General features: G+C 39.4%; 1 annotated feature.

Moving 5' to 3' along the window:
* Nucleotides 255–846: an enhancer, noted in NCBI's record as "OCT4-NANOG hESC enhancer chr20:21917369-21917960 (GRCh37/hg19 assembly coordinates)". NCBI's record gives its function as "activates a minimal SCP1, AML or CMV promoter by ChIP-STARR-seq in primed H9 embryonic stem cells {active_cell/tissue: H9 hESC(primed)}" and the evidence as "EXISTENCE:reporter gene assay evidence [ECO:0000049][PMID:30033119]".

Here is a 14450-nt window from a genome sequence, read left to right as displayed (position 1 = left end):
CAACATTATTCAGGAACTGCTGTACACAGCCAGATCTGCCCCCCAGGAATTGGCTGAGGCCTCATTGCACGTTTGTTTTGGATCAGTTTCTTCCTCTACCCAGTCCAGGCCTTCACTATTATTATTATTATTATTATTATTATTATTATTATTATAGTTATTTCGCAGGTGTGGATCCTGAGAGCACTCTCCATGAAACCTCCTACTCACAGTTCTTTGTCTCAGAGTCTATTTCCCGGGATCTCAAACTAAAACACTTCACCATAGTTCAGATTTAAGAGGCTCCTTGTCCTCAGGAAAAACTGGTGGATGAGACTTGGTAGGCTGTTGCCAGACAGAGCAGAAACTGATCCCAGACTGGAGAGCTATGTCCCAGAGTTGCAGGAGGGCTCAATATTAAGAGATGTGTCTTCATGTAAGACTCCCCTGGGCCCAGGAGCCCTTGGAACCACTTCAAACATTTTCATTCTTCCAAAATGCTAAAAACTGTGTTTCTTTTGTTTCTCAAATGGAACTATTGTTTTTCAAATGGCATAGGCTCCAAATGCTTTCCCTCTAGAATTCTACTGGCTGTGACCATGTCAGCATGTCATCCTCCAGTGGACTCTCGCTTAAGTGGAGCCCTGTGGGGGGAGAATGAAAATTACTGGGCAAAAGTGGAGAAGGTCTTCCTGTCTCATGCTGGCAGAGACAACACAGAGCTTCAGATTAAGCCAGGAGCTATTATTCACGTGAGTCATAGCACAAAACAAAGAATTCTTGCTAGAAAAGTAAAGAAAAATTCAAATGACTTCCAACCACTAAAGGAGGTAGTAGTGAAGTGAGTAAAATCTTCACATGTTAGAAAGAAATTTTTTGTTCACACTGAAAGACACAGATAGAATGAGAAACTTTATGGAAATGTGTGTCACTCATCACCCCACAGCAGTTTGGAAATTTTTGAAAATCACTTTTCACAAATATTATTTTGTTTGCTGGTTTTTGTTTTTAGTTCTTCCCTTTAATGTTTTGAAGAAAATAAATAAATGAAATTCTCCTCAAACTCTTTCCCCACTGAAATGAAGCTTTGCCCGCTCTCCCTCAGTGCTCCCACTGCCAGACGGGTCACTGGTAAGGGCCTGCTGTATTCCAGTTCACGTGCGAGGCAAGCCCTGGGACTACAGTGATGAACAAAGCAGACACAGTCCTGCTGTTTATTTTAAAAGAAAAATCTAAATTGGGAGAGTATGTCCATGTAACTTCCTGCAAAGTGTTGGTTGGTTCTGATGTTTTCAATAAAGCATATAAACTACAATAAGAACATAACCTTAAGAAAAAGAAAAGCTTAATTACAAAGCAGCTGTAGGCAAAACAGGATACTCTCTTGTTCAGAATTGTGGTAATGGTAAAAAATATTTGTAAGCTTCCTAAAATTGTTCTGAGTCTAAACCAGTATGTTTTCAGTAGGGTTTTTCAGAGTTTCATAAGTAATCTGGTGTTCATTCTCATTATAAAAGAAGTGAGTCATAATTTTTTGCACCTCTAAAATCCATCCTTACTTGGTTTTTTAGTTGGCAGTAAGACTAATAATTCACGTGATGGTAGTATTATCTGTCACCTTCTTCCATTTAAAATAGGAATAGAACCCTGTGCTGATCATTTTAAAAAGTCAATGTATAAAGGACATCAAATTTATGAAAAATTACAAAAAGAAACCTTAGTATGTTAACATTTGTTCTCTCTTGGTAGGTATCTGAGTGATTTTATTTTCTCCCTTACCATTTTCTATATTCTTCAGTTTTTCTGCAATGAACACATGATTTAATTTTAAGATAAAAGATAGATTTAAAAACAACAAAGACAGTTGTACATACACCATTTGGTCATAGCTATGTGCAAATTTGTACATAGAAAGGAAAATTTTTATTTTGGGTATAGGGCAAAAAAAAGAAGAAGGACAATGAGTAAGTTTTTCTCTTCTAGTCTTCTTTTCCAAACTTCTTAAACATCAGTTAGGAATGCTTTAAGCTGCAAGTAAGAGAAAGCGCAAAGAACTGAGGCTTAAATCTTAAGGACATTAAGTTTTTAGTTAATGAGGAATAAAGGTAGGCAAATCTTTCCCCTCAATGACTCAGTCAAGGACCCAGACTCTTTTACTTCCAGACTGACATCCTCCCTTTGTCAGCATGATCCTTATGCATCATGTTCTTACCTGACAGCTTCTCAAGCAGAAAATAAAGGGCTTTCCTTTCCTACAATTCTGTCTCATTACATTCTCTTACATGCGATTAGCCAGAATTTGATGCACCATGGTTATGCTAGGAAAAATTCTGCTGACAAAGTAGAGAAAGGCACCATGATTAGTTCAGACCAGTCTTATGCAATAGAAGTTTGTATGATGAGAGAACTACTTCATATCTACATGTTCCATATGGCAGCCACCAGCCACATGTGTCTATTACTTAAGAAGTGGCTAGGTGACTAAGCACTAAATTTCTAATTTTAATTTTATTGACTTTTCATTAATTGAAATGTAAGTGGCTACATGTGTTTATCTATTGAACAGTAGGTTTAGATAAATCAAAATCCCCTACATCTAGCCACTTTCCTCTCATACTGGAGTTGTATTAGCAAAAAGATGTGGGAGGAGGCATAGCTGTTGGATAGAAAACCAATTGTGTCTGCCCAACTTACCATTCATTTACATTTTAAAACTTATTTGCCAACTTTTATTTTAATAAAATTATCAGGGAAGTCAAAGCTTTCAGTGGTGAAGGGCTGGCTCTTCCATCCCAATCCCAACTTCTACTGAATATTGGGTAGCTTGTTAAATAGTGATTAGTGTGAAATACCTAATATATCTGCACCCAAGTATTCTCAATGTCAGAAGGTGAATACAAGGAGATATTGGAGAGCTAAAAATAACTGTGTATTGGAGGATTAGGGTATCACTTAACATTGTTTGTCTCAGCCCAAACCAAACAAGTGTGAGGCTCTGGCCCTTTAACAGATGCTGGTTTCATCTGCCTCTCTTGCCTATGGGGATAGCCCATCCCTTCCATGGAGCCCCTGTGACCATTTCTAGTAGTGATGCTAATTGAGGATGAGCACTCCTTTTGGAAACCCCTGGGCCTAACTACTGGCTTTCATCATTAGCACCTAAAGCAAAATCCTGCATTGGGTATCACGGTTCGATAATAGTTGAAATTATTTCTCCTGCCTAGAAGAATAACATGTGAGACATGTTGGGTTTCTAATAGCAGGCAAAAAGACACAGTTTTGGGTTCAAGATGTTATTAGGGGCTGGATGCTGTGGCTCATACCAATAGTCCCAGTGCTTTGGAAGGCTAAGGCTTGGGGATCTTTTAAGTCCAGGAGATCAAGACCAGTCTGGGCAACATAACGAGACCTCTGTTTCTACAAAAAAAAAAAAATTTACAAATTAGCCAGGCATGGTAGCATATACCTGTAGCCCCAACTACTTGGGAGCCTGAGGCAGAAGGATCACATAAACCAGGAGTTTGAGGCCACAGTGAGCCCTGATGGTACCACTGCATTCCAACATGGAGGACGGAATGAGACCCTGTCTCTAAAAACACACACACACATGCACATATATATATATGTGCATGTGTGTGTGTGTATATATATATATATGCACTGAATATATATATATGCACTGAATATATATATATATATATGCACTGAATATATATACATATATGTTTTTTAAATAGATGTTATTGGGGATCAAAACTTGTGAAAGGAAGGGAGAGAAAGCAGGACTGGCAGAAGAAACTGTTGAATGGTGACACAGGCATGATAAAGCTTAGCCATCATGACAGGGACCTCTAGAGTGAGTATTGCGCAAGTCATCAAGCATCAGGGGGAACTGCAAGACTTTTATTCTCCATTTCACTCAGCCACCAGATGCACGCTACCCTAGGAAGGATGATCTCTGCAGCTGAGACACACCCTGGAGGCACCTGATAGCCACACCCCTGCATCTGGGCCACAAGTCCTTCCTTGAAGGCGAATCTGAGCTTTGTATCTCCATGTCTGTAACACATGACTAGAATGACTTCTTGTCAGTGTCTTAACAGAGATTAGAAGCACAAAATAGCAATTTTCTGAATAGTTAATGAGGCTGTCTTTGTGGATGGGATTCAGTGCATTTGACCATGCTGTGCACTGGTCTAAGGAGGTATCCAGTCTTACTGTGTTAGCACCCTAGAGGACAGTCCAGTCTGAAGCTGGGAGGTTTACTTATTTTTGCTTTTCACTTTTTTTTTGTTTTTTCCTTATGTGTTTTTTTTTTTTAAGTATTTTGGCTGCATTCATGTGACAAGTTGTAAATCATTGAATGAACAAAATAGCATATTGCATTAACTGCTTTTCTCCATTCCACTTTCAGAAATTCAGTAAAGAAATTTGACTCAATTTTTGGAATGCTTTTATTTTAATTGTTCTTTTCCTTTTGCTGGTTTTTTTATTTTATTATTATTACCCTTTAAGTTTTAGGGTACATGTGCACAATGTGCAGGTTAGTTTCATATGTATACATGTGCCATGCTGGTGTGCTACACTCATTAACTCATCATTTAGCATTAGGTATATCTCTTAAAGCTATCCCTCCCGCTCCCCCCACCCCACAACAGACCCCAGAATGTGATGTTCCCCTTCCTGTGTCCATGTGTTCTCATTGTGCAATTCCCACCTATGAGTGAGAATATGTGCTGTTTGGTTTTTTGTTCTTGCGATAGTTTACTAAGAATGATGATTTCCAATTTCATCCATGTCCCTACAAAGGACATGAACTCATCATTTTTTATGGCTGCATAGTATTCCATGGTGTATATGTGCCACATTTTCTTAATCCAGTCTATCATTGTTGGACATTTGGGTTGGTTCCAAGTCTTTGCTATTGTGAATAATGCCGCAATAAACATACGTGTGCATGTGTCTTTATAGCAGCATGATTTATAGTCCTTTGGGTATATACCCAGTAATGGGATGGCTGGGTCAAATGGTATTTCTAGTTCTAGATCCCTGAGGAATTGCCACACTGACTTCCACAATGGTTGAACTAGTTTACAGTCCCACCAACAGTGTAAAAGTGTTCCTATTTCTCCACATCCTCTCCAGCACCTGTTGTTTCCTGACTTTTTAATGATTGCCATTCTAATTGGTGTGAGATGGTATCTCATAGTGGTTTTGATTAGCGATGGCCAGTGATGGTGAGCATTTTTTCATGTGTTTTTTGGCTGCATAAATGTCTTCTTTTGAGAAGTGTCTGTTCATGTCCTTTGCCCACTTTTTGATGGGGTTGTTTGTTTTTTTCTTGTAAATTTGTTTCAGTTCATTGTGGATTCTGGATACTAGCCTTTTGTCAGATGAGTAGGTTGCAAAAATTTTCTCCCATTTTGTAGGTTGCCTGTTCACTCTGATGGTAGTTTCTTTTGCTGTGCAGAAGCTCTTTAGTTTAATTAGATCCCATTTGTCAATTTTGGCTTTTGTTGCCATTGCTTTTGGTGTTTTAGACATGAAGTCCTTGCCCATGCCTATGTCCTGAATGGTAATGCCTAGGTTTTCTTCTAGGGTTTTTATGGTTTTAGGTCTAACATTTAAGTCTTTAATCCATCTTGAATTAATTTTTGTATAAGGTGTAAGAAAGGGATCCAGTTTCAGCTTCCTACATATGGCTAGCCAGTTTTCCCAGCACCATTTATTAAATAGGGAATCCTTTCCCCATTGCTTGTTTTTCTCAGGTTTTTTCAAAGATCAGATAGTTGTAGATATGCGCTTTATTTCTGAGGGCTCTGTTCTGTTCCATTGATCTATATCTCTGTTTTGGTACCAGCACCATGCTGTTTTGGTTACTGTAGACTTGTAGTATAGTTTGAAGTCAGGTAGTGTGATGTCTCCAGCTTTGTTCTTTTGGCTTAGGATTGACTTGGCAATGTGGGCTCTTTTTTGGTTCCATATGAACTTTAAAGTAGTTTTTTCCAATTCTGTGAAGAAAGTCATTGGTAGCTTGGTAGCTTGATGGGGATGGCATTGAATCTATAAATTACCTTGGGCAGTATGGCCATTTTCTTGATATTGATTCTTCCTACCCATGAGCATGGAATGTTCTTCCATTTCTTTTTATCCTCTTTTATTTCCTTGAGCAGTGGTTTGTAGTTCTCCTTGAACAGGTCCTTCACATCCTTTGCAAGTTGGATTCCTAGGTATTTTATTCTCTTTGAAGCAATTGTGAATGGGATTTCACTCATGATTTGGCTCTCTGTTTGTCTGTTATTGGTGTATAAGAATGCTTGTGATTTTTGTACATTGATTTTGTATCCTGAGACTTTGCTGAAGTTGTTTATCAGCTTAAGGAGATTTTGGGCTGAGACAATGGGGTTTTCTAGATATACAATCATGTCATCTGCAAACAGGGACAGTTTGACTTCTTCTTTTCCTAATTGAATACCGTTTATTTCCTTCTCCTGCCTAATTGCCCTGGCCAGAACTTCCAACACTATGTTAAATAGGAGTGGTGAGAGAGGGCATCCCTGTCTTGTGCCAGTTTTCAAAGGGAATGCTTCCAGTTTTTGCCCATTCAGTATGATATTGGCTCTGGGTTTGTCATAGATAGCTCTTATTGTTTTGAGATACTTCCCATTAATACCTAATTTACTGAGAGTTTTTAGCATGAAGGGTTGTTGAATTTTGTCAAAGGCTTTTTCTGCATCTATTGAGATAATCATGTGGTTTTTGTCTTTGGTTCTGTTTATATGCTGGATTACATTTATTGATTTGCATATATTAAACTAGCCTTGCATCCTGGGGATGAAGCCCACTTGATCATGGTGGATAAGCTTTTTGGTGTGCTGCTGGATTCAGTTTGCCAGCATTTTATTGAGGATTTTTGCATCAATGTTCATCAAGGATATTGGTCTAAAATTCTCTTTTTTTGTTGTGTCTCTGCCAGGCTTTGGTATCAGGATGATGCTGACCTCATAAAATGAGTTAGGGAGGATTCCCTCTTTTTCTATTGATTGGAATAGTTTCAGAAGGAATGGTACCAGTTCCTCCTTGTACCTCTGGTAGAATTCAGCTGTGAATCCATCTAGTCCTGGACTCTTTTTGGTTGGTAAGCTATTGATTATTGCCACAATTTCAGAGCCTGTTATTGGTCTATTCGGAGATTCAACTTCTTCCTGGTTTAGTCTTGGGAGGGTGTATGTGTCGAGGAATTTATCTATTTCTTCTAGATTTTCTAGTTTATTTGTGTGGAGGTGTTTGTAGTATTCTCTGATGGTAGTTTGTATTTCTGTGGGATCGATGGTGATATCCCCTTTATCATGTTTTATTGCATCTATTTGATTCTTCTCTCTTTTCTTCTTTATTAGTCTTGCTAGCAGTCTATCAATTTTGTTGATCCTTTCAAAAAACCAGCTCCTGGATTCATTAATTTTTTGAAGGGTTTTTTTGTGTCTCTATTTCCTTCAGTTCTGCTCTTATTTTAGTTATTTCTTGCCTTCTGCTAGCTTTTGAATGTGTTTGCTCTTGCTTTTCCATTCTTTTAATTTTGATGTTAGGGTGTCAATTTTGGATGTTTTCTACTTTCTCTTGTGGGCATTTAGTGCTATAAATTTCCCTCTACACACTGCTTTGAATGTGTCCCAGAGATTCTGGTATGTTGTGTCTTTGTTCTCGTTGGTTTCAAAGAACATCGTTATTTCTGCCTTCATTTCGTTATGTACCCAGTAGTCATGCAGGAGCAGGTTGTTCAGTTTCCATGTAGTTGAGCAGTTTTGAGTGAGTTTCTTAATCCTGAGTTCTAGTTTCATTGCACTGTGGTCTGAGAGATAGTTTGTTATAATTTCTGATCTTTTACATTTGCTGAGGAGAGCTTTACTTCCAACTATGTGGTCAATTTTGGAATAGGTGTGGTGTGGTGCTGAAAAAAATGTATATTCTGCTGATTTGGGGTGGAGAGTTCTGTAGATGTCTATTAGGTCCGCTTGGTGCAGAGCTGAGTTCAATGCCTGGGTATCCTTGTGAACTTTCTGTCTCGTTGATCTGTCTAAAGTTGACAGTGGGGTGTTAAAGTCTCCCATTATTATTGTGTGGGAGTCTAAGTCTCTTTGTAGGTCACTGAGGACTTGCTTTATGAATCTGGGTGTTCCTGTATTGGGTGCATATATATTTAAGATAGTTAGCTATTCTTGTTGAATTGATCCCTTTACTATTATGTAATGGCCTTCTTTGTCTCTTTTGATCTTTGTTGGTTTAAAGTCTGTTTTATCAGAGACTAGGATTGCAACCCCTGCCTTTTTTTGTTTTCCATTTGCTTGGTAGATCTTCCTCCATCCTTTTATTTTGAGCCTATGTGTGTCTCTGCACGTGAGATGGGTTTCCTGAATACAGCACACTGATGGGTCTTGACTCTTTATCCAATTTGCCAGTCTGTGTCTTTTAATTGGAGCATTTAGTCCATTTACATTTAAAGTTAATATTGTTACGTGTGAATTTGATCCTGTCATTATGATGTTAGCTGGTTATTTTGCTCGTTAGTTGATGCAGTTTCTTCCTAGCCTCGATGGTCTTTGCAATTTGGCTTTTAGTTGTTTTTATATACACATACCACATACTCTTAGCTGAGTTGACTGTCTATTTCAGAAGATGTATCAATTATAGTAAGTGTGTGGTGATTTGTCAAATGTGCAGTAAAATAGTAATTTTTTGTGATTTTGTTGTAAGAAAAACTTATCAGTATATATGCTCTTATGAGGAAGCATTCAATCAATAACATACTTGAGAAATGCTTAGTAAGAAGAAGACATGGAGCCCTGATTGCTCAATTGATTCTGCTGTTTAAAGCACCTTTGTGTGCTATTGCATTTCACTCCTGCAAAAGTGCATGAAGTGGGAAAACCAGAAAAGAGCACCCTTATTTTACAAATCAGATGTCTGTCTCAGGGCTGTTGAGTGGCTTCCCAAAGACCACCCTAACTGAAAATGACAAAGCAGTCCCTCAACTTAAGTGCAAATAAGGCAAAGACTGCAGACGTACATCTGTATGGCACATTTATCCATATTAAATCTGTGCCTACTGTCTCTAGCCAGTGGCTATAATTCACAGGCGCTATTGTCATGAAGAAAGAAAAAGAGGTGGTGCATGAGGAAAACTAGGGAAGCACTCCTTCCTGAGTGCTCCATGCAGAATGTGCTGGATCTTCTATGCATGTCACCTAATTGACTCTTCACCAAGACCAAGTGAACAAAATTGCTACACTCATTTTACAAATGGAGAAATCCAAGCTTAGAAAATTTGACTATCTTCCTAATAGCAGTAAGCTCTCAAACGTGGTGGAACTAGAAATTCAACTCCCTGGTGTCTGACTTCAAACTCCTGACATTCTCCTGGTTTGTCCTCCTTCTCCTGCTCTCTCTCTCCCTCTTCTTATCCTCCTCTCTTTTCCTCCCTCCTTGCTACTTCCTTTCTCCTTGAAGAGTTAAATCTATCGTCTCAAAGAGTTCTTAGTACTTTGCAGTTTTTTCTTAGTATTAGCACATTTTCCTGCCTCAGGCTCCCAAGTGGCTGGGACTTCAGGCATGCACCATCACATCCGGCTAGTTTTGTGTTTTTAGTGAAGACAGGATTTCACCATGTTGGTCAGGCTGGTCTCAAACTCCTTACCTCAAGTGATCCATCCACCTCGGCCTGGGATGGGTGCTGGGATTACAAGTGCGAGCCAGTGCACCCGGCAGATTTTCATCCTTTTTATGTAATAAAAAGTATAAAGCCACACATGGTTTATTTGAAATATTTCATCATTTAAAAAAATACTGAAGCAGGAAAATCAATTCTAAGTTCAAGCGAGGGATGATGGTAGTTTGAACCAAAGGGTTGCATGTAGCAAGAAATTGTGATTTAAGATATATTTTAAAGTTGGAAGTAGCAGGATGTTCTGATGGAGCTTGACTTTGGTTTTGGGCCCACTGAGTTTGAGATGCCTTTGAGAAATGAAGGAAGCAGACAGAGAATAAAAGAAAAACTGGCCGGGCACAGTGGCTCACACCTGTAGTCTCAGCACTTTGGGAGACCAAGGCAGGCGGATCACTTGAGACCAGCTTGGGCAACATGGTGAGGCCCCATCTCTACAAAGAATACAGAAATTGGCTGGGCATTGTGGTACATGCCTGTAGTCCCATCTACTCAGGGGGGTGAGATGGAAGGATCAATTGAGCCTGCGAGTTCAAGGCTGCAGTGAGTCGTGACTGTGCCACTGCACTCCAGCCTGGGTGACAGAAGAGACCTTGTCTCGAAAAAGAATCTGAAAACAATGGAACCATGCCTTTATAATTCTAGAAAGGAAGTTATTTTCAACCGATAAATCCATATTCAGTCAAATAATCAAGGGTGAAGGTAAAAATAATACATTTTTAGGCAAGCAAAGACTCAGGGTTTACCTCCATGTACCCTTTCTTGGGAAGCTATTGGAGAAGAAAAGCAACTTTCCAAGTGGGTTTCCGTTGTAACTAAAAGTCATTTAGAGTTTTGCCCTGAACTTTTGGACTAATTCAGACCTTTTTGCCCTTTAAAGGCCTGAGGTTTATAATCTGCTTCTTAATTCCTGGGGTGTAGTTGGATCACCTGCAGAAGGTTTAAGACTGAAGAGCGTATGGCAAGAATCCCACTGTATCTTTCACATCTGACACTGTTCACCTTCACATTTACTCCACCTACCATGTGAAAGCTTGTTGATCTTCATGCAAAACTAGAGTTATAGATCAAGAAGCCTTTATTGCAGTCATTTTAAGTAGATAATAGATTCATGTTTTGTTAACTTCAGGATCTGTCTGGAGTTTCTCAGTGTTAGTTAAGTCATTACAAAGACTCAATTACTCTGCTCCAAACGCAAAGAAAGAAGAAGAGACATCAGCCTTTGGTCTCTTGTAATTTTCATTTTATTATATTTTATGTATTTGTTTTGAGCGTCTAGCTCTGTCACCAAGGCTGGAGTGCAGTGGTGTGATCACTGCTCACTGCAGCCTCAACCTCCCGGGCTCAAGCAATCCTCACACCTCAGCCTCCCGAGTTGCTGGACCTACAAGCACATACCACCATGCCTGGTTAATTTTTTTTGTAGAGGTGGGGCCTCACCATGGTGCCCAGGCTGGCCTCTAACTCCTTGGCTCAAGCAACCCTCCTGCCTTGGCCTCCAAAGTGCTAGGATTACAGGCACGAGCCACTGTGCCTGGCCAATTTTTATTTTATAAAGAAAGTGTTAATAGTAACAGAAAGGGAAAAATATTTGAGTACCTACTATGTCCTAGGAACCATGCTAGACACTTTTAATAACTCCCTTACTCCTCATAATAACCTTACGTAACGAATGCAGTTGATGGCCTGTTGCCAATAAGGAACAAAAGCACAAGCTTTGGGAAGCCCAGGCTATGACGGAGGCCAGAAGTATGGACTCTTCAGCCAGACTGGATTCATTCTCATCTCCCACCCACTAGCTATAAGACCATAGACATATTAACTTAGCCTGACCTCCTGACTTCAGGTTTTTCAGCTGTAAAACGGGAATAGTATTTGCCTTATAGGGTTATTGTGAAGAGCCAGAATTTGAACCCATGTCAGCCTGACTTTATGTAAAATTTTTGCCCCCATATTTTATGTATACATATATATGTACACAGAGAGAGGGTGTGTATGTGTATGTATACACATGCAGAGAGAAAGAGAACAGTACACAACAAATTAATTGTAGAGTTTGATATCCTCATGATTTTGAGATAGACAAAGTTTTCTTAACAGGACACAAACAACAGTAAGTGTTAAGGAAAAACTGTACAAACTGTACTACACTAAAATTAAGAATTTCTGTTTATTGAAAAGCATTATGAGAATAAAAAGGCAAGCTACAAAGTGGGAGTGGATATCGCAGTGCATTTATATGACAAATGACTTGCCAGAATATATTAAAATACCCACAAACCAATAAGGACAGACAACCCATTAGGAAGATGGCCAAGAGATTCAAACTGGTACATCACAAAAGAGGACACCCAAATGGCCAATAAGCACATGAAAAGATTGTCAACCTCAGTATACCACAGGGAAATGCAAATTAGAACCACAATGTGAACACACTGGACATGGCTCAAATGACTGAAGCTGGAATGACTAAAATGACTAAATGAAGTGAATGACTAAAATGGAAAATATAGACCATGCTAAGGGTTGACAAGCATGTGGAACAACTGGAGTATCTACATTCTGTTAAGATCTCCACACAGAGCCAAGTTTGAAAAATAATGGTGCATATATAGCCCCTCAAAAAGAATTACAGTGGCTACTGTTGACGATCCATTGGATAGAAACAAATTCATATTGAAAATGGGAATACAGTAATTATCAAGGGCCAGAAAATAAACATACACTCAGCCCAGTCATGCAAAAATCCGTTAACTCCTGGATAATAAGAATAATGACTCTCACCACTTTCCTGTGCCAGAGGAACCATAAGCTAAGCCAGCCAGCTGCTTGCTTCTGCTTCGACTTCGACCCTCTTGACAATGCACAGAAATGACCAAGTTGGTATTTCATCAGAGTATAAAATGAGGAGAGAAATTATGAATGCAGTATAGTAGTTGTAAAGTAGACATTTGTGTTTGACCTTCAGTTTGTAAATATTTACCTACGAGAGGTGATCTCAGGATCCCAATTAGAGGTGCCTTCAACTTAGAGACCATCTTGTTGGCTGATCTACATTTTTTTTTTTTTTTTTTTTTTTTTTTTTTTGAGGCAGAGTCTCTCTCTGTCACCAGGCTGGAGTGCAGTGGCACGATGCTGGCTCACCGCAACCTCTGACTCCCTGGTTCAAGTGATTCTTCTGCCTCAGCCTCCCAAGTAGCTAGGATTACAGGCATATGCCACCACGTCCAGCTAATTTTTGTATTCTTAGCAGAGCCAGGGTTTCACCATGTTGGCCAGGATGGTCTCGATCTCCTGACCTCGTGATCCTCCCGCCTTGGCCTCCCAAAGTGCGGGGATTACAGGCGTGAGCCACAGTGCCGGACTGGCTGATCTACTTTTAAGTTCTCAAGTCCATACAAGAGACTGGATCCGGCATAATAAGGTGCTTTTTAGATCTGGAGAAACTAAGCTGCTCTTAGTGGTAGTCCAGATGGATCTATGTTAGACTGAATTTTGTTTCCTCTGCTTAAGGTGTTTTATTGTTCTGTATAGTTTAGGTCTTCTGTGAAACAATATTAGATTAGACATGCAGGAGATTGACGGGAAAATATTCTGTGCAAGATTAAGGAGATGGGGGACAGGAGAGGGCAGAGAGAGCCTTCAAACAACAAGGCAGTTGGGAGCCTAAGAACAGCAAATGGGAAGGAGGAAGAGTTGGATTTGAAGAGCTTTAGACTGTAGTTCTGAGAAAGTCTCAGCCAGTGCAGCAAGGAGTCCCCAGCAAAGGTTGGCCAATACATGAATATTGACAGGAACATGCAGGTTCTAACATCCCTGCTGTGCTCTGTCATTGGCTAGGAGCAGCCTGGGGAAAGGGTGGCCTCAGTGTTTATGACAATGGATCTGGAGGTTTGGCAGCTGGGGCTGTTCATCAACTGCACTCCCTATAGCAGATTCGCTGGAAGAGCTCAGTAGTTGCAGAATACTAAGAACTCTTTGAGATAATAGATTTAACTCTTCCAAGGAGAAAAGAAATATCAGAGGGGAGGAAAAGGGAATAGGAGAGGGGGAGAGAGAACAGGAGAGAGAGGAAAAACCAGGAGAATGCCAGGAGCTTGAAGTCATACACTTAGAAATTGAATCTGTAGTTCCACCACTTTGGGAAATACGTTCTGTCTCTCAATGGGAGCTGAATCCTGTACAATCTGCATTCCATGTCCATGGGTTGTGCATCCGCAGGTTCAACCAACCAGAGACCAAAAATATTCAGGAAAAAAACAACAAAAATATTCAGGAAAAAACCAAAATTTGTATTATTTAAAAATAATACAAATTTTAAAACCATGCAATAATGCAGTATAGCAGCTATTTACATAGCATTTACATTGTACTAGCTAACTTTACATTGTATAAGTAATCTTGAGATGATTTAAAGTATACTGGAGGATGTACCTAGGTTATATGCAAATACTACAGCATTTTACATAAGGGACTTAAGCATCTGCTAATTTTGATACTGCAATTTTGATCCCTGGCTGGTTATACTATTAACAATAATAGTAACTAGTATTTTGAGCACTTATCATATGCCAGGGGCTCTTCTCAGTATTCTGCATACTGAAGACTCACAAAATGGGAATGGAAGGGAAGGAGTTAACAATTTTGATGGCTAACATCATATGAAGAAAAGTTCAACACCACTGATCATTACAGAAATGCAAATCAAAACCATAATGAGATACTATCTTACACCAGTCAGAATGCCTATTAA

This window comes from Homo sapiens, chromosome 20 (genome assembly GCF_000001405.40).
Source record: "Homo sapiens chromosome 20, GRCh38.p14 Primary Assembly".
In the NCBI taxonomy this organism is placed as follows: Eukaryota; Metazoa; Chordata; class Mammalia; order Primates; family Hominidae; genus Homo; species Homo sapiens.
The sequence above is the reverse complement of the archived record's forward strand: the minus strand, read 5'-3'. Positions and strand labels throughout refer to the sequence as shown.